At 39.9% G+C, this 27,387-nt stretch overlaps 1 long non-coding RNA gene across 1 annotated transcript, besides 3 other annotated features; it reads left to right on the top strand.

Annotated features, from left to right (window-relative positions):
• Positions 1,908-2,709: an enhancer, noted in NCBI's record as "OCT4-NANOG-H3K27ac hESC enhancer chr9:41202640-41203441 (GRCh37/hg19 assembly coordinates)". NCBI's record gives its function as "activates a minimal SCP1, AML or CMV promoter by ChIP-STARR-seq in naive H9 embryonic stem cells {active_cell/tissue: H9 hESC(naive)}" and the evidence as "EXISTENCE:reporter gene assay evidence [ECO:0000049][PMID:30033119]".
• On the top strand, positions 16,863-25,995 carry LOC124902172 (uncharacterized). Its single transcript, XR_007061559.1, has 2 exons — positions 16,863-16,963; positions 25,700-25,995. It is a non-coding gene; the product is annotated as an uncharacterized LOC124902172 (long non-coding RNA).
• Positions 22,691-23,198: an enhancer, noted in NCBI's record as "OCT4-NANOG-H3K27ac hESC enhancer chr9:66128811-66129318 (GRCh37/hg19 assembly coordinates)". NCBI's record gives its function as "activates a minimal SCP1, AML or CMV promoter by ChIP-STARR-seq in naive and primed H9 embryonic stem cells {active_cell/tissue: H9 hESC(naive and primed)}" and the evidence as "EXISTENCE:reporter gene assay evidence [ECO:0000049][PMID:30033119]".
• Positions 23,199-23,706: an enhancer, noted in NCBI's record as "OCT4-NANOG-H3K27ac hESC enhancer chr9:66128303-66128810 (GRCh37/hg19 assembly coordinates)". NCBI's record gives its function as "activates a minimal SCP1, AML or CMV promoter by ChIP-STARR-seq in primed H9 embryonic stem cells {active_cell/tissue: H9 hESC(primed)}" and the evidence as "EXISTENCE:reporter gene assay evidence [ECO:0000049][PMID:30033119]".
• Positions 25,996-27,387: the final 1,392 nt, after the last annotated feature.

The raw sequence follows: 27,387 nt of genomic DNA, 5'->3' as shown, positions 1-27,387 counted from the left end.
GATTACTTGCTCAGCAAATATTTTCTTACCAACTTTACAAACCTCTTTTTTTTGCATTATTTTGAAACATTTACTTTTGCTAGATTCAGTGAAGCAAGTAAAGTTTGAATTTGAAAATAAACTAAACTGTGATTTGTGGAACAGGTTTTTATTTCACTTTTGAAATAAATGACACATACTGCAATTAATTAAATTTGAGATAATTTGATTATTAGAGATAATGACTGAGCAAATTTATCAAAATTTATTATAATAACTCTTTTAAATTAATCGCATTGTTATTCATGTGCTATGTTAAACCACATAATCAAACTGAAACTTTAAGAAAGTACACAGGTCCCAGAACAGAGCAGTTTTTCCTCAAGACAGGAAATTCCGGTCTACCTGAGTCAGTGCAAAAAGGAACTTTTCTCTGCTTTAACCCTTACAACAAATTAACCTGGATTAACCCTGATCTTAACCAATCAGCTTTTTGTCTATTGTTTTGTTTAATTGTTCTCATTTTACAGAAGCTACCGTTCTTCCATTGTCTGTGGAAGCTCTCATCCTATTTTGTAGAATGCAGGCTGCCCTGATTCATGACTTACAAATAGAAGCCAATTACATCTATAACTAAATTTGTTCTAATTTTGTCTTTTAAAAAAGTTATCGTCATAGGCCAGGCACAGTGGCTCACACCTAAAATCCCAGCACTTTGGAAGGTCAAGGCAGGCAGATTGCTTGAACCCAGGAGTTTGAGACCAGCCTGGGCAACATGGTGAAGCACAGCTTCTACAAAAAATAACCAGATATGTTGGCATGCGCCTGTAATCCCAGCTACTCCAAAGACTGAGGTGGAAGAATCACTTGAGCCCAGGAGGTCAAGGCTGCAGTGAGCCATGATCACTACAGCCTGGGCAACAGGGCAAGACTCTGTCTCAATAAAACAAACAAACAAACAAAAAACAGTTAACATCATAAATTTTGTTTTTATTAAGAAAGGGCAACTTAACACTTTCTTAGCTCTTGAGGATGTAAATTGGTTATCTAACATATATTAATGTCTCAAATATTGTATTATCTTTTAAAAATATGTTTGTGTAGAATACGGAGTGAATTAAGTTAAAATCCAGATAAATATTTTCATTATCTTGCAAAGTTTCCAAAATGCTATGTGTTTTTGCATATAATTATTTACAACTTATTTTTAACACATTACTTCAGCCTATTAGGGATCCAATGACATAGCCTGGATGTTTGTCTCCTAAACCTCATGTTGAAATTTGAACCCCTGTGTTGGAGGTGGGGCCTAATGGGAGGTGTTAGGGTCTTGGGAGCAGATCCCTCATGAAAAGATTGTTGCCCTCCCCGGGGAGAGGGGATGAATGAGCTCTCTGTTAGTTCCCAAGAAAGCTAGTTGTTACAAAGAGCCTAGCACCCCCTCCCCACTCTTTCCTCTTTTCTCACTATGTGATCTCACTACATGCTGGCTTCCCTTTGCCTTCCGCCATGTGTGGAAGCAACATGAGAAATTCACCAGAAGCTGAGCAGATGCTGCTGCCATTCTTCCTGTATGGGCTGCAGAATCATGAGCCAAATAAACCTCTTTTTTAAATACATTTTTTAGTCTCAGGAGTTTTTTTAATAGCAACACAAATGGGTTAAGATATTCAATGCAATGGTTCATGCCAAAAAATACTTTGCTATCCCATGTCACGTTATAGACTTCAGGAGAAAGGACGTTTAGAAGGCATAAAGACATTTACAAAGCACAGTAGTCCCTGTTTTTATTAAAACACATCATTGCTCTATCTAAGTATTTGCTCTGGTTCTGTAAGTGACTCTCCCAGCACACCTCTGGCCTTCAGGTTTATTCTATTTTCTCAGCACAGCACAGTTTTGCTAATTTGTAAAACTCCAATTTCTCATGAACATAATCAGATTTCTGGTTTCTCATAAAAAGAAATCATAGAAGACCTGGTCACACTGGGAGGCATCCCTTATAGGGTAGGACTATGCCCTTTCAATGAGCCAGGCTCTGTCCTGAGAGACAGCATTCTCTCCCAGCTCCATTTACTCCTTACCTCTCCTTGAAGGCTTTTACCTGCTATGATCTTTAGCAACTCTGCTGCCTTTGCTTGCAAGAGAAGATTAGGCATATAATTAACATTTCAGTAGCAGATCAGGCAGAGTCAGAATGAGGGCTTTTGAAACACATCGCAGCATTCATTTACAAGTGATTAGTGGTGGCCACAGGAGTGGCTGTCGCTGATTTGCCTTGCTTTAGGGAAGCCATTTTTATCTTCCCTCTACTTCTGGCTGTTGGAATGTTTCCATCTTCCAGCATATGGCACTTAGTTCCTGAGGTTTTTGCTCCCAGGAAAAGAGAAAGTCCCCAAACTTAATTTTATCCTGGGAAGAGCGCATCTAAACCTTTAATTCAGAGCAGATGATCACTAATCCTAGCATAGTCAAACCTAAGCAGGCAATATTTAGGGACAGACAAACTTTGAAATAATAGCAACTGGCTATTGTATCTCTACTAAGAACTCTGCCTCAAGCGTAGACATGGTTTTCTCCTATAAATCTCACCCTTAGGAACTGACAATTTGTCTTAGGTCAGGATGATATTAGTTTAGCACTCACAATAAGTTTTTCTGGAAATTTAGAATGGTAACAGAAGTTTATATTCTTAGGAATAAATATAAACTATTTTCTTCCTACTATGTTCTGTGTGTCATTGTGGCTGGTGAATAAAGAAGGGACAGACACTTTGGGAGGCCGAGGTGGGCTATTATTGTTGTGATGAGGAGTGATGCCTATGAAACCTTTAACATAGTGCCATATACAGTAACAACTCAGTAATATTTAGTTATTTGTATTATTATGCCATCTCCAAGACACCTCACCACTAGTCTCTAGAGTATCACAAGTAAAACTATGTGGAATCTTCCACTCACTCCAGTTTCCACTCTGGCAATCGTGTGGTCTATAAAATATACTGTCCTCTTTCAGACCTGGAAGTGGAAGGAGCCTGCACACATTTGAAAGAAAATTGTCCAATTAAATTCATTATCTTTACGACATAGATATATGGAAAATGGATGTAAATGCAGGAGATTTGTTTTTAAAAGTTGAATAATAAATTCCGCTGAAATACAATGTCATTCACTATGTAGGCAAATAACATCTACAAAAATTTAGGTAGAGGGATGTATACATCTATTAGGATATTCTAGAATGACTTTTTAAAGGTTATGCTGTAAAAATGCCACCAGGTGTTAGAAATAGATCAAACTGTGTCAAACTTTTTTTTTTTCTTTTTTTTTTTGAGATGGAGTCTCGCTCTGTCGCCCAGGCTAGTGTGCAGTGGCGCGATCTTGGCTCACTGCAAGCTCCACCTCCCGGGTTCACGCCGTTCTCCTGCCTCAGCCTCCCGAGTGGCTGGGACTACAGGCGCCTGCCACCACACCCGGCTGATTTTTTTGTATTTTTAGTAGTGGCAGGGTTTCACCGTGTTAGCCAGGATGGTTTCTATCTCCTGACCTCGTGATCCGCCAGCCTCAGCCTCCCAAAGTGCTGTGATTACAGGCGTCAGCCGCTGCGCCCGGCCTCCTCCATAGCCCTTCTAACAGAAGCACCAAATGACAACTCTAGAAGAAACATTTACAACTCTTTCCATTTTTCATCATACCTTTAAATTATAGGATGTCATTTGATGGTTTATTTCAGTGGTCTGTTGTTCTACTTGGTGGTCTATTTCATTATAAAATATATCTTTTATGACAGTAAACCACTGGACTACAGAGTCATGATAATTTCTAAATTTTGCTGCTGACCTCTAGACTCACAGTCTGTAAATAGTCTGACTTGATATCACTCCTATAAATGTTGTCAGGTTAGGGTCAAGTAAATAATTAGAAAATAATTCAGTATTTTTTTAATCAAGCATTATGATTTTTATCTTTTTGCAAGTTTAGAGTAACTTTTTCTAGGACAAATGCTTCTCTTGACACTGACACTCTCTGAAGATTTGTTTTGTGTGCCAAATTGTATTACTGTTCCCAATTACTTGCTGTCCTCCAAGTAAGAGGATTATACATCCCTGACACAATGGAGTTGGGATTGGTCATGTGACTTGCTGTAGCCCATAGAACATGAAGAGAAATGCTGAGAGCCACTGCTGTGAAGAAGCCCACATTCTGCCCATAATGGCCAGAGAGCACATCAGCCATAAATTAGGTTGTTCAGTTCATAGCCTGCCTCCCTCCAAGCAAACATTATGGTGATAGGCAGAATAATGCTAGGAATCTTAAAGGTTTGGTCATTTTCTTTTCTCATTTTCAGAGCTTTGTGCACTTTTGACCCATATTGTTTTTAAAACTTTGCCACTTAGGATAGATTTACAGCAACCCATAGGAAACAAAATTTAAAAACAATATATAAGGCAATTATCTAAGAGCTATAATTTTTAAATTAAAAGATTTTAAAACACTAAAAGGAATGGGAGGAAAGTTCTCTACTAATTTATTAAATGATGTAAAAGAAAATAGACCGGAGAAAAATGACTAATAACAAATACAGCATCCTCTTTCATATTTTAATATTCTACATATTAGATTTAATGACGACCAGGTATTTGAGAGTATATTTATTGTCATAAGTTAGGCATAAATGTATATATAGACACATTGATACATTAAATGCTTTTGTGTGATTGTATACCATATCTACATTTAGTTTTTGTGAACTATATGTAGTTCACATATATATCACATGTCATGCACATATATGTCATGCATGTGACATATATCATACACATACATTTAGGAAAAAAAGTTCTATGAATGAAAATATATGTGCCCATCTCCTAGCTTAATAAATTAAACATTACCCATATTTATTAGTCCCCAAGGTAAACGCTATCCTAAATTTTGTTTATCATTCCTTTACTTTTTGTTTGTGATTCTTTGAATATACTCTTTTGTTTTTCCCTTTTTTTTTTTTTTGAGATGGAGTCTTGCTTTGTCGCCTAGGCGGGAGTGCAGTGGCGCAATCTCAGCTCACTGCAAGCTCCACCTCCCGAGTTCATGCCATTCTCCTGCCTCAGCCTCCCGAGTAGCTGGGACTACAGGCGCCCGCCACCACGTCTGGCTAATTTTTTTGGTTTTTTAGTAGAAACAGGGTTTCACCGTGTTAGCCAGGATGGTCTTGATCTCCTGACCTCGTGATCCGCCCATCTCGGCCTCCCAAAGTGCTGGGATTACAGGCATGAGCCACTGTGCCTGGCCTGTTTTTCCTCTTTTTGAAGACTTCATAGACTTGGAACATACATATTAACTCTGTGATTTTTTAAAAGCTATTATTGTTCAACTTGAGTTTTTGAGATTCAGGCATGCTGATACATGTAATTAATGTCCTTAATTTTCACTGCTATATGATATTCCACTGAATGCATCTGCCACATTTTATTCATCCATTTTTTGGTTTTTAGGCATCTTAGTTGTTTATTTTTCCTTTTTTGGCTTTCATAAAAAAATGTTTCTATGAATATTTTAGTTTATAACATCTTTTCCCAGTGACTTTTGGATTTTCCTATTCACAACCTATTTAACTGAGTTTACTGGTTTGAATAGAGAACTTTGGGAGGCAACCAATGTGACTTATTTTAGCAGACGGGATGGTGGTTGAGGTGAACTGATGTGCACATGAGGTCAGGTCAGTTGTGCACATGGGCATAGCCTTTTCTCAGTGATAATTCTGAACAGCCCAGCACATTATTGCTGGGAAGTCCTTTAGAGAACATGGGTCCAATTTCCTCTTCTTGAATTGCTGTGCCAATGCATTTTCAAAAATTACTGTCATGGCTGGATGCGGTGGCTCACGCCTGTAATCCCAGCACTTTGGGAGGCCAAGGCGGGCGGATCACGAGGTCAGGAGATCAAGACCATCCTGGCTAACATGGTGAAACCCCGTCTCTACTAAAAATACAAAAAATTAGCCAGGCGTGGTGGCAGGAGCCTGTAATTACAGCTATTCAGGAGGCTGAGGCAAGAGAATGGCGTGAACCTGGGAGGCGGAGCTTGCAGTGAGCCGAGATGGCGCCACTGCACTCCAGCCTGGGAGAAGAGAGAGACTCCGTCTCAAAAAAAAAAAAAACAAAAAAAACAACAACCTGTCATGTTAATGTAGTTTCCTATGAGAAACAAGTGAATTAAAGAGTTAAAAATTAATCGTGTTACAGATGAGCTTGTTTAATTGCTGCTTTCCTTCTTTTTCTGTAGTGACTTTATATGAGCACTGAGAGGCAGAAATGGTGATGAGGGTTGAGAATTTGCGGTTGTTTTCTTCCCAACTAACTTGTAAATTTAGAATGACCTAAATTTAACGACAACAGCTGCAAACTCTAATCTGAGTACTATATTATAATATTAACTGCTGAATGAAACTAGACATTATGTCAACGTAAGAGCAACATTTTCAGGGAAGGGTGAGGAATTTGGACTATTTTAGAAACTAAAGGAATACAGCAGGCAAAACAAACACCAATCTGCTGACGTCAGATAAAGACAAACTTTATTTCTGAAAAAAGAAACTTAGGGGAGAAAAGCTTAGGGCAAACCACCAGCTGATATAGTTTAGATGGCCAGGCGCGGTGGCTCACGCCTGTAATTCCCAGCACTTTGGGAGGCCGAGGCGGGCTGATCACAAGGTCAGAAGATCGAGACCATCCTGGCTAACATGGTGAAACCCCATCTCTACTAAAAATACAAAAATTAGCCGGGCATGGTGGCTGGCGCCTGTAGTCCCAGCTACTCGGGAGGCTGAGGCAGGAGAATGGCGTAAACCCGGGAGGCGAGGTTGCAGTGAGCCGAGATCGTGCCACTGCCCTCCAGCCTGGGCGAGAGTGCAAGACTCCATCTCAAAAAAAAAAAAAAAAAAAAAAAATATATATATATATATATATATATATATAGTTTGGATGTTTGTTCTTTCCAAATCTCATGTTAAGATGTGATTCCCATGTTGGAGGTAGGCCCTGGTGGGAGGTGTTTGGGTCATGGGGGTGGAGACCTCATGAATGGTTTGATGCCTTCCTCATAGTAACGAATAAGTCCTCCCTGCATTAGTTCATGCAAAAGCTGGTTGTTTAAAGGAGTCTAGGCCGGGTACAGTGGCTCACGGCTGTAATCCCAGCACTTTGAGAGGCTGAGGCCGGCGGATTGATTGATCTTAGGAGTTCGAGACCACCCTGGGCAACATGGTGAAAGCTCACCTCTACTAAAATACAAAAAAGTAGCCAGGCCTGGTGGAGTGCACCTGTAGTCCCAGCTACACGGGAGGCTGAGGCACAAGAATTGCTTGAGCCTTGGAGGCAGAGGTTGCAGTGAGCCAAGATCGCACCACTGCACTCCAGCTGGGGCTACAGAGTGAGACTCTGTCTCAAATAAATAAATAAATAAATAAATAAATAAATAAATAAATGAGTCTGGCATCTCTCTTGTTCCCTCTCTTACCATGTCATACACCAGCTCCCACTTTGCCTTCTGCAATGATTGTAAGCTTCCTGTGGCCTCAGCAAAAGCTGATACTGTCATTACACTTTTTGTACAGCCTGCAGAACTGTGAACCAAATAAACCTCTTTTCCTTATAAATTATCCAGCCTCACATATTTCTTTATAGCAACACAAAATCGACTAACACACCAGCAGACATGGGGTTCTTGTTCTCAAAGCCAAGGCGGGCAGATCACCTGAGGTCAGGAGTTCAAGACCAGCTTGGCCAACATGGCAAAACCCCATCTCTAGTAAAAATTAAAAAATTAGCCGGGTGTGGTGGTGTGCACCTGTAATCGCAGCTACTCTGGAGGCTGAGGCAGGAGAATTGCTTGAACCCAGCAGGTGGAGGTTGCTGTGAGCTGAGATTGCACCACTGCACTCCAGCCTGGGTGACAGAGCAAGACTCTATCTCAAAAAAAAAATTATTATAATCACAAAGTTTAATTTACAGATATGACCTGTTTGTGCAGGGACCTCACAGTCCCCGTGTCTATTTACAGAATCTCCAGCTTTGAACTCACTAAGATAGGGCAACCTCAGTTTCAGGTAGCTGGAGTGGAAACCCCCATATCACAGTTCTGACTTCATTGTTCTTTATATCTAATCCCAGGTATACCTTGTATAGAATCTGTTACAAGGTGAGGTAAGTGAGGTACTCCCCTTAGGAACACAATTAAATGGGTAAGCACAAAACTTAGCAATCAAAATAAATAATGTTTTAATACATTATTTAAAAATATTAAAATTAATGCAAAAAAGTCACCATGAGCAAATATTAAAATTTAGCAGGATCTGAGCCTGCACTTTTGCAACTCACCTTGTTCATCTCACCTTAATTCCTGTTAATTTCCTTCTCAATTAGTTTCCAGCAGGACAAAAATTCGTTGGACTTGGTATGAAGATTCAATCCATACCTTGCAGAAATATTTGGTCTAAGAAGGATATTTCATCTAGGACGAGGTCATTTATTAAGTTTAATTCTCCCATCATGTCTTCAAGGCAACAAATATAGTCTAAGACCCTCTATGACCAGTTTTATTTGCCACTTTCCAATTATTTTGTCACTACACAGCCAGTCACAATCTGTTGTAAGATTTTACTACAAATGATGACTTAATCTTGCTATCATGATTAGGATGATTATATAGTTTTCTTCATTCAAATTGGGACATTCTTTATTTGAAAGGAGTGCTACAGAAATCATGCCAGGACTAATGGGACTGACTTGGACAAAGCAGTATTGCTTTCAGTATGCGCTATTATATTTTAAGCACGTTCTTGTCTCATGGATGACTTTATTAGCATAAGAGTGGCCACTTTTAAAAAGCAGCATTTCTGGGAGGCTGAGGGAGGAGAATGGTGTGAACCCGGGAGGCAGAGCTTGCAGTGAGCCAAGATCGCACCACTGCACTCCGGCCTGGGCGACAGAGAGAGACTCTGTCTCAAAAATAAATAAATAAATAAATAAATAATAAAAATAAAAATAAGAAAGCAGCATTTCCTACATATTGCATTCAATTTTTTACTTACCTATCCCTTTGACTTTTAAAACTTTTTTTCTTAGTCTGTGCTTGTGTCTTTGTGATGTTTCCATCAGACAGCAGGCAGCACTGCAGCGCACTGTGCACCGAGTTTTGCATTCCTGCCATCCTTTTATACTTATTTATTTATTTAGACAGAGTCTCACTCTTGTTGCTCAGGCTGGAGTGCAGTGGTGCGATCTTGGCTCACTGTAACCTCTGCCTCCCGGGTTCAAGTGATTCTCCTGCCTCAGCCTCCCTTGTAGCTGGGACTACAGGCACCCACCACCAGGCCCAGCTAATTTTGTATTTTTAGTAGAGACGGGGTTTCACCACGTTAGTCAGGCTGGTCTCGAACTTCTGACCTTAGGTGATCCACCTGCCTCAGCTTCCCAAAGTGCTAGGGTTACAGGTGTGAGCCACCACCCCGGCCTTACGCCATTCCTTGAAATTTGCGTTTATGGCATCTTTGACTTATTCAATAACACATCTTGTACCATCGTGCTAGAAATGCTAACTTGTGTTCAGAATTTCTGCATCCTTCTTAAGTGAAACTTTGCCAATTAAGTAAACCTATGATAATACGGTAATGAAATCGTATCCCAGTATCTCATTTCTAGTGCCATAATAGTGACAATTTATCTTGTCATCTTCAGAGGGGCTTAACCTCACTGTTTCTGTCAGTAGTAATGGATATATTTAATTAATTCAGCAGGAAGTTCTGTCTTAAAGCTCATTCTCTTTCCCCTATGCGGAGAGTGAGGACAAGCTTCTGCAAAAGAGCCGATTAGCAGAACTTTTGATATTCTGAAGACAGTTACTGTCCCTCTCTTGCTCTTTCTCTTGTTCTGTGTGTGTATGTGTGACACACACACACATTTAATATGTTTATATAAATATTAACATATATATTTAATATTTTCCAGTCCTTATCTCAATGCTCTTGATTGATAATGAGGGGCAGTGAAAGTCATTACAGAGATATACAAAGTTTACATTAACTGTATCTAGATGTAGAGTTTTTAAAATCATTTGAACTCTGAGTTTCAACATTTTTTTAAAGCAATAAATGAAAGCCTTCAGAGTGCAAAAAATTTTAATATGATATTAATTTGAAAACCTCAAAGTCTCTGCAGTGATTTTAAATATGATGCAGCCTTCTACTCTAAAAATAGGAAATCTAGATTATTAAAGTATTACTAGAATATGGCTTTAGTTGTTAATTTAAAAATCTAAATAAAATACAACAGTTTTATGACAGTTCTGAGGGGAAAAAAACACTGTGGATTGTGTAGGAGTTAAAGGCTGAATCTTTATTTCCTGCTCTCTGAAACTGTACCAGTGATTGACAACCACAAAATAGAGAAAGATTAATGCAGAATATGTCAGTGTAGTAGATAAATTCCACACTTCATAAAACATTTTTTCACAGAGATTAAAAAAATAGAACATTATCAAGAGAACACAACCCCTGGGTAATAAATGTTAATATTTACATCAATAATATACTATAAATATTAATATTTAAATGACACTGGAGATAACCTAAGGAAAAACTATCAGTTTGACTGGGCCACAGGGTGACTCAGATATTTGGTCAAACATTATTCTGTGTGTCTGTGAGGGTGTTTTCTGAATGAGATTAACATTTGAATCTCTAGCTGAGTGAAGCCCACTGCACTCCCCAGTATGGATGGACCTCATCCTCTTGGTGGGAGGCCTGAATAGAACGAAACAGCTGACCCTCCCATGAGTACTGGGGAGCTCCTTTTGCCTGACTGTGTGAACTGGGACATTGGTCTTTTCCTACCTTCTTAAATGAATGAAAACATTGGCTCTTCTTGAGCCTCAAGGCTGCAAGCTTTTGGACTATACCTTACCTCTGCTGGGTCTCCAACTTGCTGACTTCAAATTTCCATACTAATCAGCTTCTGTCATTACTTGAGCCAATTCACAATTCTTTAGACAGTCCCCAACTTACAATGGTTCAAAACGATTTTTCAGCTAATGATGGTGTGGGCTGTTTTGTTTTTATTTAATAAATTGACAATTACTTTAGCTAAAATAATAAAGATTGCATTTTGTTTTTTACTTTCAACATAGTATTTAATAAGTTACATTAAATATTCAACACTTCATTATAAAATAGGCTTTGTGTTAGATGATTTGGCCCAACCGTAGGCTAAATGTATGCTAATGTAAGTGTTCTGAGCACATTTAAGGTAGGCTAAGCTAAGCTATGAGGTCCAGTAGGTTAGGTGTATTAAATGCATTTTCAACTTGTCAGAGACAAGTGAACCAGAGCAACTCCATCTTAAATAGGAGCTGGGTAAAATGAGGCTGAAATCTCCTGGGCTGCATTCCCAGATGGTTAAGGCATTCTAAGTCATAGAATGAGATAGGAGGTCAGCACAAAATACAGATCATAAAGACCTTGCTGATAAAACAGGTTGCAGTAAAGCAACCAGCCAAAACCCACCCAAACCAAAATGGTGATGAGAGTGACTCTGGTTGTCCTCACTGCTACTCTCCCACCAGCACCATGACAGTTTACAGATGCCATGGCAACGTCAGAAAGTTGCCCTATATGGTCTAAAAGGGGAGGGATGAATAATCCACCCCTTGTTTGGCAAATCTCAAGAAATAACCATAAAAATGGGCAACCGGCCGGGTGTGGTGGCTCACGCCTGTAATCCCAGCACTTTCGGAGGCCGAGGCGGGTGGATCACAAGGTCGGGAGTTTGAGACCAGCCTGACCAATATGGTGAAACCCTGTCTCTACTAAAAATACAAAAATTAGCCAGGCCTGGTGGTGCACGCCTGTAATCCCAGCTGCTCAGGAGGCTGAGGCAGGAGAATCACTTGAGCCCTGGAAGGGGAGGTTGCAGTGAGCCTAGATAGTGCCACTGCACTTCAGGCTGGGCAACAGAGCAAGACTCCATCTCAAAAAAAAAAAAAAAAAAAAAGGCGCAATCAGCAGCCCTTGGGGCTGCTCTTTCTATGGAGTAACCATTCTTTTATTCCTTTACTTTCTTAATAAACTTACTTTCACTTTGCACTGTGAACTCGCCCTGAATTCTTTCTTGCACAAGATCCAAGAACCCTCTCTTGGGGTCTGGATCTGGACCTCTTTCCTGTAACAAACTTATGATGGGTTTATTGTGACATAACCCCATTGTAAGTTGAGGAACATCTGTGTGTGTGTGTGTGTGTGTGTGTGTCTATGTGTAGACAGAGATAGAAAGAGAGATAGAGAGAGACAGTACTCTAGAGAAACCTTACTAATAATATATGTAGAACAAACAAACAAAACAAAACCATTTCTATATTATGTCACACCTAACTTGTTGCTTTCCACTCTGGTATTATTGTTGAATAAATGAACAAATGCCACACAGTTACAAAATGATACTTTTTCCATTTTTATAGCCAATTCAAACAGAAAAGCAATCTTATGGATACTATGGTCCACATCATAAAAGCATATTTTATTTTTTTACTTTATAGAGTAGATACTGTCAATAAACATTAATCTAAAAATTAATTTTTAGATTAATGGCGGCCATACTAGTTATAGTTTATGAATCATGTTTGGTCAACTAGTAGCAGGATATAATTTCTACTTGGCCAAGCCCAGTGGCTCACAGCTGTAATCCTTGCACATCGGGAGCTCAAGGGGAGAGGATCACTTGAGCCCAGGAGTTCAAAACCAACCTGGACAACATTTCTACAAAAAAATGTAAAAATTTGCCAGGCACAGTGGCACGCCTGTGGTCCCAATTACTAGGGTGGCTGAGGTGGGAGGATCATCTGAACCTGGGAGGTGTAGGCCGCAGTGAGGTCTGATCACACCACTACACTCCAGCCTTGGCAACAAAGTGAGACCTCACCTCTCAAAAAACAAATCATGTATATGGACTTAGTTCCTTTAACGTGAAATAATGCCCCATATGTGTACACTCCATTGATTTGTAGGAAAAAATTGATGCAAGGATGAGGGATGCATAAAGGAAGAATTTCTCCAGTATCTCTCAATCTTTTTTTCTTTTTCTTTTTCTTTTTTTTTTTTTTTGAGACTGAGTCTCGCTCTGTTGCCCAGTCTGGGGTGCAGTGGCACGATCCGGGTTCACTGCAACCTCCACCTCCGGGGCTCAAGCAATTCTTCCTGCTTCAGCCTCTAGAGTAGCTGGGATTACAGGAGCCTGCCACCACACCCAGCTAAATTTGTTTGTATTTTCTAGTAGAGACTGGGTTTCACCATGTTGGCCAGGCGTGGTCTTGAATTCCTGACCTCAGGTGATCCGCCTGCCTAGGCCTCCCAAAGTGCTGGGATTACAGGTGTGAGACACTGTGCCCGGTCCAGTATCTCTCAATCTTGATTTAGGGGTTAGAGACTTCTTGGCCCCGACTTTGTGACCACTTTCACTAGTTATCTCCATGCCCGCTCTGGAGAAGTGAAGCTAGGGAGGCCTTCAGCTGCTGGCTCACTAGGAAGCACTCACAGCGGGAGGGAGCCGACTCTGCCCTCCAGGTGGTTTTAGGTCCACATCTGTGGAGGGCCAGGAGCTGGTAACTATTCTGTGATGCACGTTGAATTTTCTCCACTGTAACTCATTCCTTGGACATCTTGTCAGTTCACTCACAAATGATATGTTGACAGTATTTGTGTTAGAACAGCGTGTCCTAAAGTGGCATTTTACATGTAGCTGCTTTGTGCATTTATCTTTTATAATACAAAACTATTATCCTTAAAAAAAAGTCATTTAAGTACAAGCTTAAAAAAGACTTTCGGAAGTAGTTACCAATTTAGGGATACACCTGGGATACGACATTATTCTTTTTAATCAAAACTTCAGCCCCATGGAAAATGTAGCAGTAGACACTTTAGATGACAGTGACACAAATCATATCCTTTTATGTTTGGGTAGGCTTTAACTTCTAAAATCATCTCTTACCTCATTCTCCTACTTTTAAGGAAAAAAGTTTCATTTTACCTTGGCATGTCATGACTGCTGACATGATTTCCAACATGCCATTAAATAGAATCATCTTGAAGAAGGAAGGAGGGGAAGGAAGTGGAGGAAGAAAACCCAGATTATCAGAGGCTCTGGTAAACATTTGATAGGAATCACTATCTCCCTTGGTCCTCAAAAAACTCCACAAACCAGATATTGTGCATCTGGCAAAAGCAGAAACACAAAGCAGAAAGGTCAAGCAACTTGCCTCTGATTTCACTATTAAGGAGAGCAGAGCACAGCCTCAGGTTCAGGCCCTGGTTCTAGAGCCCCTGTTCTAACCACTGCTTGCGGCTGCCCACCCTGCAGAACATGCTGGCATACTATGCAGAGGCAAAGGCAATATTTTACTGAAATGTCAGAGGTTTATGTTATTGGCATACTACAGATGACCTTCTTTGTGGCCCCAATTTTGCTTCAAATAATAGAAAATGCACAGTAGGCTGGGGATGGTGGCTCACACCTGTAGTACCAACACTTTGAGAGGCTGAGGTGGGAGGATCACTTGAGGCCAGGAATTTGAGACTAGCCTGGGCAACACAGAGAGACTGTCTCTACCAAACAAAGAAAGTGCACAATAGTTCCACATACACATTTTACATCTGACAGAAACTAAGAAACAAAAATCTGGAATACCTCCACCTAAGACTGTACAGCCCCTGGTTACACAGATGTGACTGAATATTTCTGTGGGACTCTCAGGTTGCTGGTTCTCATTTCCATTCTGATTTCTGCATCTTTCCACTTTCATGAATTGTATTTTACACTATGTAAGTTGCAACCATTTGGAAAAACAAACAAAAATAAGTATTTTTGCAGCTAATTAATTTATAAAGTTTTTATTTTTAATTCACCTCATTTCAATGGGGAAATAAGTATAAGATACAAAATAGAGTCATGAATAAAATAAAATAAAACGTGTATAATTGGTATTTCTACATGAACATAAATGCATGAATATGTTGTTCAATTGCTTGGTCCGAGTAATACTTTTATTTCTGAGAGTACTTGCTGTCAAAGAAAGGTTGAAACATGATCAATTACAAGACACTCAAGGTTAATAATAGAATTTAGAAAAAGCAATGGACAGGGATGCTGCACGGTAAAGTTGTAGAGATCAGATATCAGCCCCAATTTTCTTTTTTTTATACAGTGGTGATGATGATGTTGATGTTAATAATCATCTTAACATTTACTGAGTATTAATATTATGTCTGCACTATTGTAGCACTTTGCATGTATTAACTCATCGCCTCTTCACAGAAGCCCTAGGAGGCAATATATCAGTAATATTTGCATTTTACAGAGGCAGGAAGACAGAACTGCCAAAGTCACAAGGTATATTAGTTTGCTAGAGACATCATAACAAAGAGCCACACACTGGGTGACTTAAACAATGGGCATTTTTTGTCTGATAGTTCTGGAGGATAGAAGTCTAACACTAAGGTGCCAGCAGGGTTGGCTCCTTCTGAAGGCTATGAACGAAGCATCTATTCCAGGCCTCTTTCCTGGTTTTGTAGACACCTGTCTTCTTCTTTGATCTCTTCACATCATCTTCCCTCTACGTGTGTCTGTCTCCAAATTTCCCTTTTTACAAGGATATTAGTCAAATTGGATTAGGGTCCCTTCGCAACAACCTCATTTTAACTCCCATGTAAAGACCCTAAATCCAAATAATTCCTGGGTTCTGCAGTACTCAGTGTTTAAAAATTCAACATATGGGCTGGGCATGGTGGCTCACACCTGTAATCCTAGCACTTTGGGAGGCTGAGGCAGGCGGATCACCTGAGGTCAGGAGTTTGAGACAAGCCTGACAAACATGGCAAAAACCCATCTCTACTAAAGGTACAAAAATTAGCTGGGCATGGTGTCAGGCGCCTGTAATCCCAGCTACTCAGGAGGCTGAGGCAGGAGAATCACTTCAACCCAGCAGTTGGAAGTTGCAGTGAGCTGAGATAGGGCCACTGCACTCCAGTCTGGGTGACAGAGTGAGACTCTGTCTCAAAAAAACTAAATAAATAAAAATAAAATAAAAATTCAACATTTGAATTCTGAGAGATGCATGGTTCAACCTCTAACACACGGCCAGGAGATCTGCACACAGGCAGCCTGGCCCTGCACCCAGCCTCAGGGCTACGCAGAGTGTGGTCTGTGACCCGCAACCTCAAGTGCCACCCTGGGTTTCCCTTAGTTCCTTGAACACCTTTTTTTCAGTAAGTCTTTAGGAAGGTAACATAATGTAGGTAATTCATTCAAAGTAAGAATGTAGCTCCATTAATGACATGAGTGCATTCTGTCCTGGCTTTGTTGGATTATTTTATTCTTCCCCTTTATTTGTCCTCCCTGGATGTTAAGTCAGCCCTGTTGGGTGATGTAAAAAGGGCGAGTGTGATCTCAGGGCTCTTAGGGAGAGAGTCAACACCGTGACAGCATCAGTCAGGCAGTTTCTCACAGGAGCCATCGGCTTCCTGCGGCTTCCTCCGGAGCCTTCCTTCCTGCTGCTCCACAGGGGCTGCTGCATGGGAGATGCTGCCCTGCTGAGCTGTCATTTAAACTTATTCTGAAGATTAACAAGGCCCATCACTTGCAGATACTAAGCCCCTATCATGAACACAGTAAAATATTTACTTGAACAAATTAAAATATTCTATTCAATGATGATTCAGAATAAATTAAAATACTGTAGAAGTGTGTTTTATGTAAATATTTTCTCCTTTGTTCTGGATTTTAATTATCTTGAATTTTTATTTGCAGAACATTTAAGGAAGTTTCTGTTTTAAACCAGCCTTGGAGGGTTTTCATGACAAGGAATTGCACATTGGATGATCATTTCTACCTTTTGCAATAACTACTTCTTATTTGCAAGTTGTGTTTAAGTGAACAAAGACAGTAAGTATTAAATAATTGAAAACTATTTTTTAGCAGATTTGTTGGATAACAACTATTTAAGGAGGTTAAACAAATGCCCTTCAGATTTTCAGTCAATATTGGCTATTACTAAGCTGACTTGCTTCTTTAATCACAGGGCTTCATTTGAAGTCCAGTAACTATGACTTTGAGAAGATCCTTGGTTTCCACAGCATGTATGATTCATACCCACAGGTTTCCCTGTGAAACCTTTTCCAATCTTTTACACTATGCTTCAGAATCCTGTACCTCCTACTTAAAATAAAGAACACTTAACTAGTAAAAATATGATACTGCAAGATGAGTGTCACTAGATGATAGCATCATGCTTCCACTGTAACCCTGTCTTCATATTTAAACGCGGATACACTCTTTACTTCTTCATAACATAAAGAGATACCAAATACTTATTCAATACCTAACAATATGCAGCATTTATATGAACTTTGACTAGGTAATCTTCCTCAAGTGGGTCCTAGAACATACATACACACACACACACACACACACACACACACACACACTGAAAGTATCGATATAAAATATAGATACAAAAATGTTTCAGCAGAGATTACAGAAGAATGTTGAAACTGCATAGGGCATGTTCAGAAATTTCAGAGCCAGTGGAGCAGCAAAAAACACAGAAATCCTGTCAGGAGATACTATTTCCAAAATCCTCAGAACAAAACAGTCAAACTACAGTGAGAAACCCTAGAGTGTGTTCTTGGGCAAAATCTAAGAATTTAGCCAAGTTCAAAACCCGAAGCGTCAGAGTTCACCAGTTCTGTCATAATAATTTTTCCAGGACTCATTTTCCTCATCTGTATGATGAGGGGGTTAGCCTGGATAAAATACAGGGCCTAACCAATGCCCTGTCTCTGTAAGGGCAGCAATATTGTGGAAGAATTTCTGCACTTTAAATATCCGTCTTGGCAGCAAATCCTCAGAGTCATGAAGTAGCACGTCGTTTATCCTCGTGTATCTGGGCACAGATGCTAGTGTTACATCCATCCCTCACTACTCATCAACATGAGTCCAAGACATGGATCAGTTCTTTATTTAGAGATAAAATGACAGGATAGATCCTCTCTGTGTGTTTATTTCACAATTCCTTCATGACTTGCATTCCCCTTTCTCATCAGAATCAGTGCCCTCCATTTCTTCTTAAAGGATGGTATTTTGACATAAATGGAAATGATTTTTGCCTTCTGTGAGACAGGGGGTTTTTTCTCCACTTTCTTATAGGTCAATTTCCAAATCATGAATGATGGACTCACTAATTATAGTACTGTCAATGTTTTCTTGACAGGGTCTTTATTTTTTTCCTCCAGGAGACGTGGGAATGAGTACATTCCTATCTAATGTGAAAATCCAAGTTTATTTTCCTTTTACATAAGATCACTTTTTCCCTTAGAAATCACATAGATGGATTATAGAAGACATTTTATAGGAAATTATAAAATCTAGGAAAAAGTTGCAATATTGCAAAATTGCTGTAATATGGCAAATGAACTGAAACATGGGGTTTCATATGACATCTAGTAAATTTTATTATTTATACTGTGAAATCCCATTAAATAATGAAATTAAAATAGTTTAACCTGCTAAATTGTGTGTTCTTTTGACCGCTCTTGACAGGGTGGACAAAGGGTCAATTAAGAATCACCCTTTTTGATGCCAGACAAGCTCCAGTGAGTCAGAGCAAACACGTTCTGAAGTGTCTTACTCAACCACATCACAGAAACTGTCTCAACATTTTGCCATTCTTAAAATTAGTCTCCCAAGTCTATTCATGATTCAAAGGTGGTGAACATCAGCTATATACTTTTCTGTTTTGCAGGTTACTTATAATTCCTTAGGCTGTTTCTTCCCCCCATCTCTAACATTCTTTCATTCTTTGAAGATAAGCTATGGACAATTAGGGAAACATAACATAATTGTCTGTGCCCTTGCTTGGGTGTTTCAAATATTAGTATTGTAAAAATCTGTGACTTAGAGGGATTATTCTCACACACACACACACACACACCTATTATCCACAGATTAACTTATTCTACTCTTAAGAAAACATTTTATAGATGTATTCTCAATACTTCCCTTTACGGAGGATGTTTTTTCTATTATTAAATTTTAACCATACATAACTGGAAATCAATTATACTGACCACCTGCCCATATGAGCTATTCAGGCATCATTTTTTTTCCCAACACGCTATGAGCTGTGATGAGAATGAGAAAAATAGCACTTGATAAGTCAACTCCACAACCCAACTCAGTATTCTACAAGGTTCTCTTTATATTTGATTCATTTGAGAGAAAAAACCCTGAGGGTGAATATAGAGTAGGTAATGTTCAAGGAAAAAAAAAGCCTATTTTAGATATTTTCCGTGTAAATCTCAGAATATGATTAAAGGAAAGATCTTTTGAATTCAGATTTCCATGGAAACACTCACAGCATTTTTCAATGGCGAGTAAGTGAGCTACATGATCTAACAAACCATTTTCTTACTGAATTTAAAATTGTGTTAGTTAGACACTATCAGTTTCCCTCCCTGTTCACCATGAGCCTGAGTTGTTTCCCTAGGCTTGGTAACATCCTCTCCCCTTTCCTTGTCCCTGGGTTGTTGTTGTAAAGTATGCCATCCCTGTGGTTGTTAATTCTAATGCAAATTTATTAGTCAGGCCATTCTCAGCTCCCTATGATGGGAGTAGAAATGGGGAAGGTACCCTTGGTAGGTAACTTATCTCGTTTTGATTTCTAAATGATGTAAATGTAATAGCTTAAAAAAAAATCTCCATATAACTGTTCTCTGCACCCTCTGATTGGGTAAATACTCATGCAAATTGACCATCTTATCAAATATATTTTTATGAAAGTTAAAGAACCTGCACCACATACGTAGCAAGACAACTTCCAGTCACTTCTTACCCTCTGAGCCTTGGGCTTCTCTGCAGCTGGGCAATGCTGTACAAACAGCATAAATGCTCCAGTTGGGCATTTGGTCTTAGAGGGGTAAAAGATCTAAGAATGCTTTTGCCTGTTACACGATTGGGCAGGTTGTATTTCATTTTTAAATACAAAAGAAGTAAATAAACGATGTGCCAGAAATATATTTGAATTTTTGTCAGTTGACATTTCAGTAGCCATTATGGACCCAAAGTCATTTTGTTTGAGGAGCTGATACTGGATAATATATTTTTATTTAACAAAAGTTATGATAACTTGTAGTCCACATGATCTGAACATGCGTGTCCTAAAAATATATTTGAAAATGAGAGAAATGCATATAGAGATGAGGAAAACCCTAGCTGAAAAGATAAATATATAGACGATAATTTTTTTTAATTTGGGGAGAAGATGATGAACATGAAAAGAATTATGAGTTTGAAAATCTGTCTACAGAAACATCAGGTAATTCCTTATCTGTGCACTTACAACACATTTCCTCATATGCATGCCTGACAGCTGCCACAGCAAAGCTGCCATTCGAGAATTTCTTTTAAAAGTTAATGTACACAAATATCCACGAGAGACTTAGTATTTCCAGAAGCTTTCGATTGGGGTAGAGTTGAAAGGGAGGGTAATATTTTGCAGTGCTGTGGAATAAAGCAGCATCTGTCTCAATTACATCCAGCTCTTATATGCAGAAGATTTCCCAAAGATGGCAGTTTTGATAAATATTGACCTCCAAAGCTCTATCATTTTGTCGACCTAAAAGGAAGAGGCTGAGACACAAACTCTGTAATTTAAAGAGTTTACTGAGCCAAAGTGAAGACAGCTGTCAGGAGGACTCGGACCCGTGTAACCTTGGATATGAGTTTGGCCTTTGTTACAAACAGATTTTTAAAGGCAAAAAAGGGGGAGAAGGCATGGCTGATACAAAGTTGTTTGTCAGGCATTCTTATTGATTTATAGAAATAACATTGATTAGTGATTGGCTATACATTGTTAAGCTACAGGGTGTGGGTTATAGCGTTTGCTCTGACATTATTAGGTTAATTTATAGCTACTTGTGGCAATAAGCAGTTTCAGGAGATGAATACCTAGCTCAAAGCGGGGAGTAGGACTTGACTGCTGCCTCATTTTAATGTCTCTCTGGGCCTCATTATTTAAAAGGACTCACATTCCTCAGATAAAAGTTCTTTTCTCGCCTTTTTTTTTTTTTTTGAGTAATACAGAATCAATCAAGCAATATTGTCTCCATTGCACGAAGTAATGTGTTATTTACACCATGGATATTCTAAAATGAAACCATGAATGTGAGTTGTTAAAAAAGCAAGTACAATAAAAAATGCATGTCCAAAAATGGATACTCCCAAGCTGAGGAGCTGAGCTGTCAGCAACGGGAATGATGACTCTTGGCCTGCGAAAGTCACTGAAAATTGAATTTGAGGGCACAGAGGAGGATGGGAGTCAGTGGCTAAAATTGTTGAGAAGGTCATTTACATTTTTCTTATTTATTATTTCTATTCTTCAGAGTCTAATATTTTCACTAATTTTAAAAAAACTTTTTCTTGGCCGGGCGCGGTAGCTCACGCCTTAATCCCAGCACTTTGGGAGGCCGAGGCGGGCGGATCACGAGGTCAGGAAATCGAGACCGTCCTGGCTAACACAGTGAAACCCCGTCTCTACTGAAAATACAAAAAAATTAGCTGTGCGTGGTGGCGGGCGCCTGTAGTCCCAGCTACTCCGGAGGCTGAGGCAGGAGAATGGCGTGAACCCGGGAGGCGGAGCTTGCAGTGCGCAGAGATCGCGCCACTGCACTCCAGCCTCGGTGACAGAGCAAGACTCCATCTCATTTAAAAAAAAAAAAACAAACTTTTTCTTATAGTCCCCTAAATGTTTAACAATATTTAAACTATCTTCAATGGTTCTAAACACATTTGGTACCTTTAAAATTTTATTTCCTATTTTATAAGACAGATGAGAGATTTGGATGTAAACACACAGTTTTGCATTTAGGTGTAATGATGTCTTGGCTCTTCAATCTGAAGAGAAAATATAATGACTAGTAATTAAGTTGGAAGTGGTATTTGAAAACCATCTATTAATTGTTTTACGTACTTTCTACTACCTAGTTTTAAGTTTCAACATAATTTTTAAAAAAATGTTTAATACTGGCCGGGTGCGATGGCTCACACCTGTAACCTCAGTACTTTGGGAGGCCAAGATGAGTGGATCACTTGAGGTCAGGAGTTGTATTCACCAACATGGTGAAACCCCATCTCTTCTAAAAAAAAAAAAAAAAAAAAATTAGCCAGGCATGGTGGCACACGCCTGTAATCCCAGCTACTTCGGAGGCTGAGGCAGGAGAATCGCTTGAACCCGGGAGGCAGAGGTTGCAGTGAGCGGAGATCGTACCATTGCACTCCAGCCTGGGCAACAAGAGCAAAACTCAGTCTCAAACAAAACAAAACAGAAAGTTTAATACTGATGCCTTCTTGCATATCTCACTATTCCTAGAATTGCATTTTATTTGTTGTTGTTGTTTTCCTTTCCCTGCTGGGCTGGGGTGGGTGGTGATATATGCAGTGATGTTTACAAGCAGAGAGGCTGTTGCAGCAGAGGTCTCATCTAACAGGGAGCCTTAATGAGCAGTGGCGCTTATAAATTAGGGAGATACTGAAGCACGCTCCAGATTCAGTCAGGACCTCAGGATGAGAGCTTGGGGTTGGGGAAGAAAACATAAAAGTGGCTGAGTATTTTTGAGGGGTTGATGAGTCTAAGCCCACTTCTTAAGATTTGCTCTTTGATTTCCTGTGTACTAGGTAGGTATTTACCTTCTCCTCCTCCTTTTTAAGCTGGGGTGCCTGCGAGCCTCCATGCAGCATTCGCTGGACAGTGCTGAGGAGTCAGTTATCAGTGCCGCTGGTGGACGTGAACGTTGCTCTGAGAAGCTGTGTGGCCAAGGGTGACATTTCCTCCAGGCAGGAAAGTCCATGAGTGTTGTTTCTTTGTCTTTGAATGAACAGTCAAGCCATGCCTCCAGACATCTTTGACATAAGCACAGGCCTCCACAAGACTTTTAAAATACTCTAGGGGAGAAAAGTCCTATCTTTTCTTCACCCGCCACAAGGTTTACAGCCCAAAACCCCCATAACAAAAGACAGGTTAACAAGAGAAAAGCATAACAAAGGTATTTAATCAAAGTTTTGCTTGACACAGGAGGCTTCAGAAATGAAGACCCAAACACCCAGGGGGAAACTGTATTTTTATGTTAAATCTGATGAAAGAAGTGAATAGTTGTGGAGCAACGTAACTGGACAAAAGGGATATGATCTAATGGTAATAAACTGAGCAGAGCCCAGCAAGGCCTGTTTGTTCTGATTCTTCTTGGTCTCTCTGTGTGTAACCGCCCAATGGGTTCATCTAGCCCCCTGCCTAGACAGAGCTGATTTATCAAGACAGGGGAATTGCAACAGAGAAAGTGTAATACACACAGAACCAGCTGTGTGGGAGACTGAAGTTTTATTATTGTTCAAATTAGTCTCCTGGAGCATTTGGGGATCAGAGTTTTTAAGGATAATTTGTGAACTGGTGGGGGGCAGTGAGTTGGGTGTGCTGATTGGTCAGGTCATAGGGAGTCAAAGCTGTCCTCTTGTGCTGAGTCAGTTCCTGAGTGGGGCCACAATATCAGATGAGCCAGTTTATCGATCGGGGTGATGGCTGCTGATCCATCAAGTGCAGCGTCTGCAAAATATCTCAAGAGCTGGTCTTAGGCTTTACAGTAGTGATGTTATCCCCTGGAGCAATCTGGAAAGAACCTCGTAGCCTCCAGCTGCATGACTCCTAAACCATAATTTCTAATCTTGTGACTAGTTTGTTAGTCCTACAAAGGCAGTCTAGTCCCTAAGCAAGAAAGGGATTTGTTTTGGGAAAGAGCTGTCATTATGTTCATTTTAATCTATAAATTATAAACTAAGTTCCTTCCAAAGTTAGTTCAGCCTACGCCAAGGAATGACGAAGGACAGCTTGGAAGTTAGAAGCAAGATGGAGTTGGTTAGGTCAGATCTCTTTCACTGCCTCAGTTATAATTTTGCAATGACGGTTTCATGTGTAGCATTCCTTTCTCCAGGTAAGGGGCAGGACTCCTCTGGAATGAGGGTCTTATGAGCTCTCAGGGGAGGTAGGTAAAAGATAAGCTTTCTAGATTTTATGGCTTGTTTCAGGAGACAGAAGGATGGGAGAAGGCCAAAGAGAACTACTTGCTTCTAAAACCCTCCTGTCTCCTTTAGTGCAACAATCCACACATGCCAAGGCACCATACTTTGGGGTACTGTGCTCTGAGCTCCGATAATACAAAGAAGTAGAACCATGTCACGCTAAATGTTTAATATGCAGCTGGGGGTTTTATCTAATAAATGCAATAACAAATCATATCTCCTCATGACATTAGGGTTTTAGATAGGCACTCCATTGTCTCAAACAGATTTTAGCTTCAATCTCTACATAGCTGCTACTTATTTTTATGAAAACAATCTTTGAAAATTGTTTTCAAGAAATTACAGGGCAGGGCGTGATGGCTTATGCCTGTAATCCCAGCATTTTGGGAGGCCAAGGCAGGAGGATCACCAGAGGTTAGGAGTTCAAGATCAGCCTGGCCAACATGGTGACATCCCGTCTCTACTAAAAACACAAAATTAGCCAGGTGGGGTGGAATGCACCTGTAGTACTAGCTACTTGGAGAGTGAGACAGGAGAATCGCTTGAATTCAGGTGGCAGAGGCTGCAGCGAGCCAAGATCAGGCCACCGCACTCCAGCCTGGGTGACAAAGCAAGACTCTGTGTAAAAAAAAAGAAAGAAAGAAAGAGAAAACAAAAACAAAAGAAATTATGTAACTGGTCTGCTCAAGATAATTAATTTTGTGTAATTACTGAACATATTAAAGGCTCTTTATTTTATTTTATGTTTTTTTGAGACAGAGTCTCGCTCTGTCCCCCAGGCTGGAGTGCAGTGGCGCCATCTCGGTTCACTGTAAGCTCCGCCTCCTGAGTTCACACCATTCTCCTGCCTCAGCCTCCCGTGAACTGGGACTACATGAGCCCACGACCATGCCCGGCTAATTTTTTTGTATTTTCAGCAGAGACAGGGTTTCACCGTGTTGGCCAGGATGGTCTTGATCTCCTGACCTCGTGATCCGCCCGCCTCAGCCTCCCAAAGTGCTGGGATTACAGGCATGAGCCACCGCGCCCAGCCGTAAATATTTTTTTAATTAAAAAAAAAAAAAAGCTGGTTAGTATTCTTAAAGAAATGTTCTGTTGCAGGGTTTGGATTGTTATTTTCTTAAAGCTGTTTCTTTCGGCTGGGTGCAGTGGCTCACACCTGTAATCCCAGCACTTTGGGAGGCCGAGGCGGGCAGATCACAAGGTCAGGAGATCGAGACCATCCTGGCGAACACGGTGAAACCCCGTCTCTACTAAAAATACAAAAAGCTAGCCGGGCGTGGTGGCGGGTGCCTGTAGTCCCAGCTACTCGGGAGGCTGAGGCAGGAGAATGGCGTGAACCCAGGAGGCGGAGCTTGCAGTGAGCCGAGATCACGCCACTGCACTCCAGCCTGGGCAACAGAGCAAGACTCTGCCACCACCCCCCCAAAAAAAAAAAAACCCACACACACCAAAAAACTGTTTTTACGTCATTATCTGAGCGGAAGCGGAACCGCATTAGAGGGTGAGTAGTTGGGCTAAATAGGACTCGCCTTTCTCATATTCTTTTTTCAGATGATACCCTGTTGAGCTGGTAGGTAGGAAGAACCAGCGAAGCGCACAGTTACCGGAGAGGTTATTTGCCCAATGTTGAGAAACATATGTGTGTATTAGAAAAAATCACATCGACTCCCAGGAATCCTGCAACATACTGCAACTGTGATGCTGACCAGAATGAGTGGAGATTTCCTCATGATTTCTCTGTGTGAGATGCAGGTTAAAAAAAAGTTATTACTTAATATATGAATAGGCAGATATTGAATAAGCTATTGCAATGAAAAAAATAAAAGTATGCCCTAGTGAGTAAAAAATGTAAGCTGATGAAATATAATACAATTAATATGAAAACTAAATATCAAGATGGAAGGTTTGCTAGTTCACTGTGGATAATAGATCATGTACATTTTTCTAGTAAATAGAAATACTTGGCTTCCATTCACTAGAAGTCCAACATCATCTCTTTAAATTTAAGTTCGATTAAGCAATCTATTACTACCAATATTTAAAGTAGTAATTCACAAAGTGTATCTGCTTATAAAAGTCCCATGATTATCTACATTTAAGAGTTAATGCTGCATATCACACCCCTTGGGGACACCATACATTAACATATTTAGTTCTGATAGGAATGTTTACTTGACTCAATCCTGATTTTCCAAAGTCATTTAATCACAAAATTATGTAGGCAATGTCATATGATCAGGAAAAAAAGTGTTCCGTGAACCACACCCTGCAAAGGGTGATCTAAAAAATGTCAGAGATTCGAAAATGTTTCAACTGTCTTTAGAACAAAGCAATAATCTCCTGTGGATTGCAATACTTCCTTTACTGAGAATTTGGAAAGTTTTTTGTAGATTTTTAGGTTATAGTTGGAAAGTATGCTGATTTTTTTTAACATGGAAAGTAAAAGTGGTTTTTTAATCTCTGGATTAATTTATTAACATGTATCACTAACTCAAAAAAAAAACCTTTTTTTTTTTTTTGAGGTGGAGTATCACTCTGTTGCCCAGGCTGCAGTGCAGTGGCACAATCTCAGCTGACTGCAGTCTCCACTTCCCGTGTTCAAGTGATTCTCATGCCTCAGCCTCCCAAATAGCTGGGATGACAGTTGTGCACCACCATGCCTGGCTAATTTTGTATTTTTAGTAAAGATGTTTTGCCACGTTGGCCAAGCTAGTCTCGAACTTCTCACCTCAAGTGGTCTGCCCGCTTGGGCCTCCCAAACTGCTGGGATTATAGGCTTGAGCCACCGCACCGGCCCTCAAAAAAGGTTTCATAAAGCCCTAGTGCTTCATCTACTAGCCTATGTATCTCCAAATCCATTTGACCATGCAGCGTACATTTATTTTTAAACTCTTAAAGGTCAATCTGGGTGTATATATCATTGATTTGGCTACAGAATGTCAGTTATATTTTATGTCTTTGGTTAAAAAATGAGGATACAAAATTTTATTCTCAAAACACGTTTATGTAATGTTGATTAATAAAAATAATTCACCTACTCATGTTTGATAATTAAATAATTAGTTTTATCTTTCCCATCACAGTAGGTGACACATAGAATATTTAGGTTTTGATTTTGTCAAGATGAAAATGAATAGCAAACCTGTTTGGAATTCTGAATTCAATCTCAATAAGGAATAGAAAAAAAAAAAGCAGACTTCATTTTAATTTGGTTTGTATTATTCCCACAGGAATATACC

This window comes from Homo sapiens, chromosome 9 (assembly GCF_000001405.40).
Source record: "Homo sapiens chromosome 9, GRCh38.p14 Primary Assembly".
NCBI lineage: Eukaryota > Metazoa > Chordata > Mammalia > Primates > Hominidae > Homo > Homo sapiens.
Note: the sequence above shows the minus strand (reverse complement) of the source record. Positions and strands in the feature narration are given on the sequence as shown.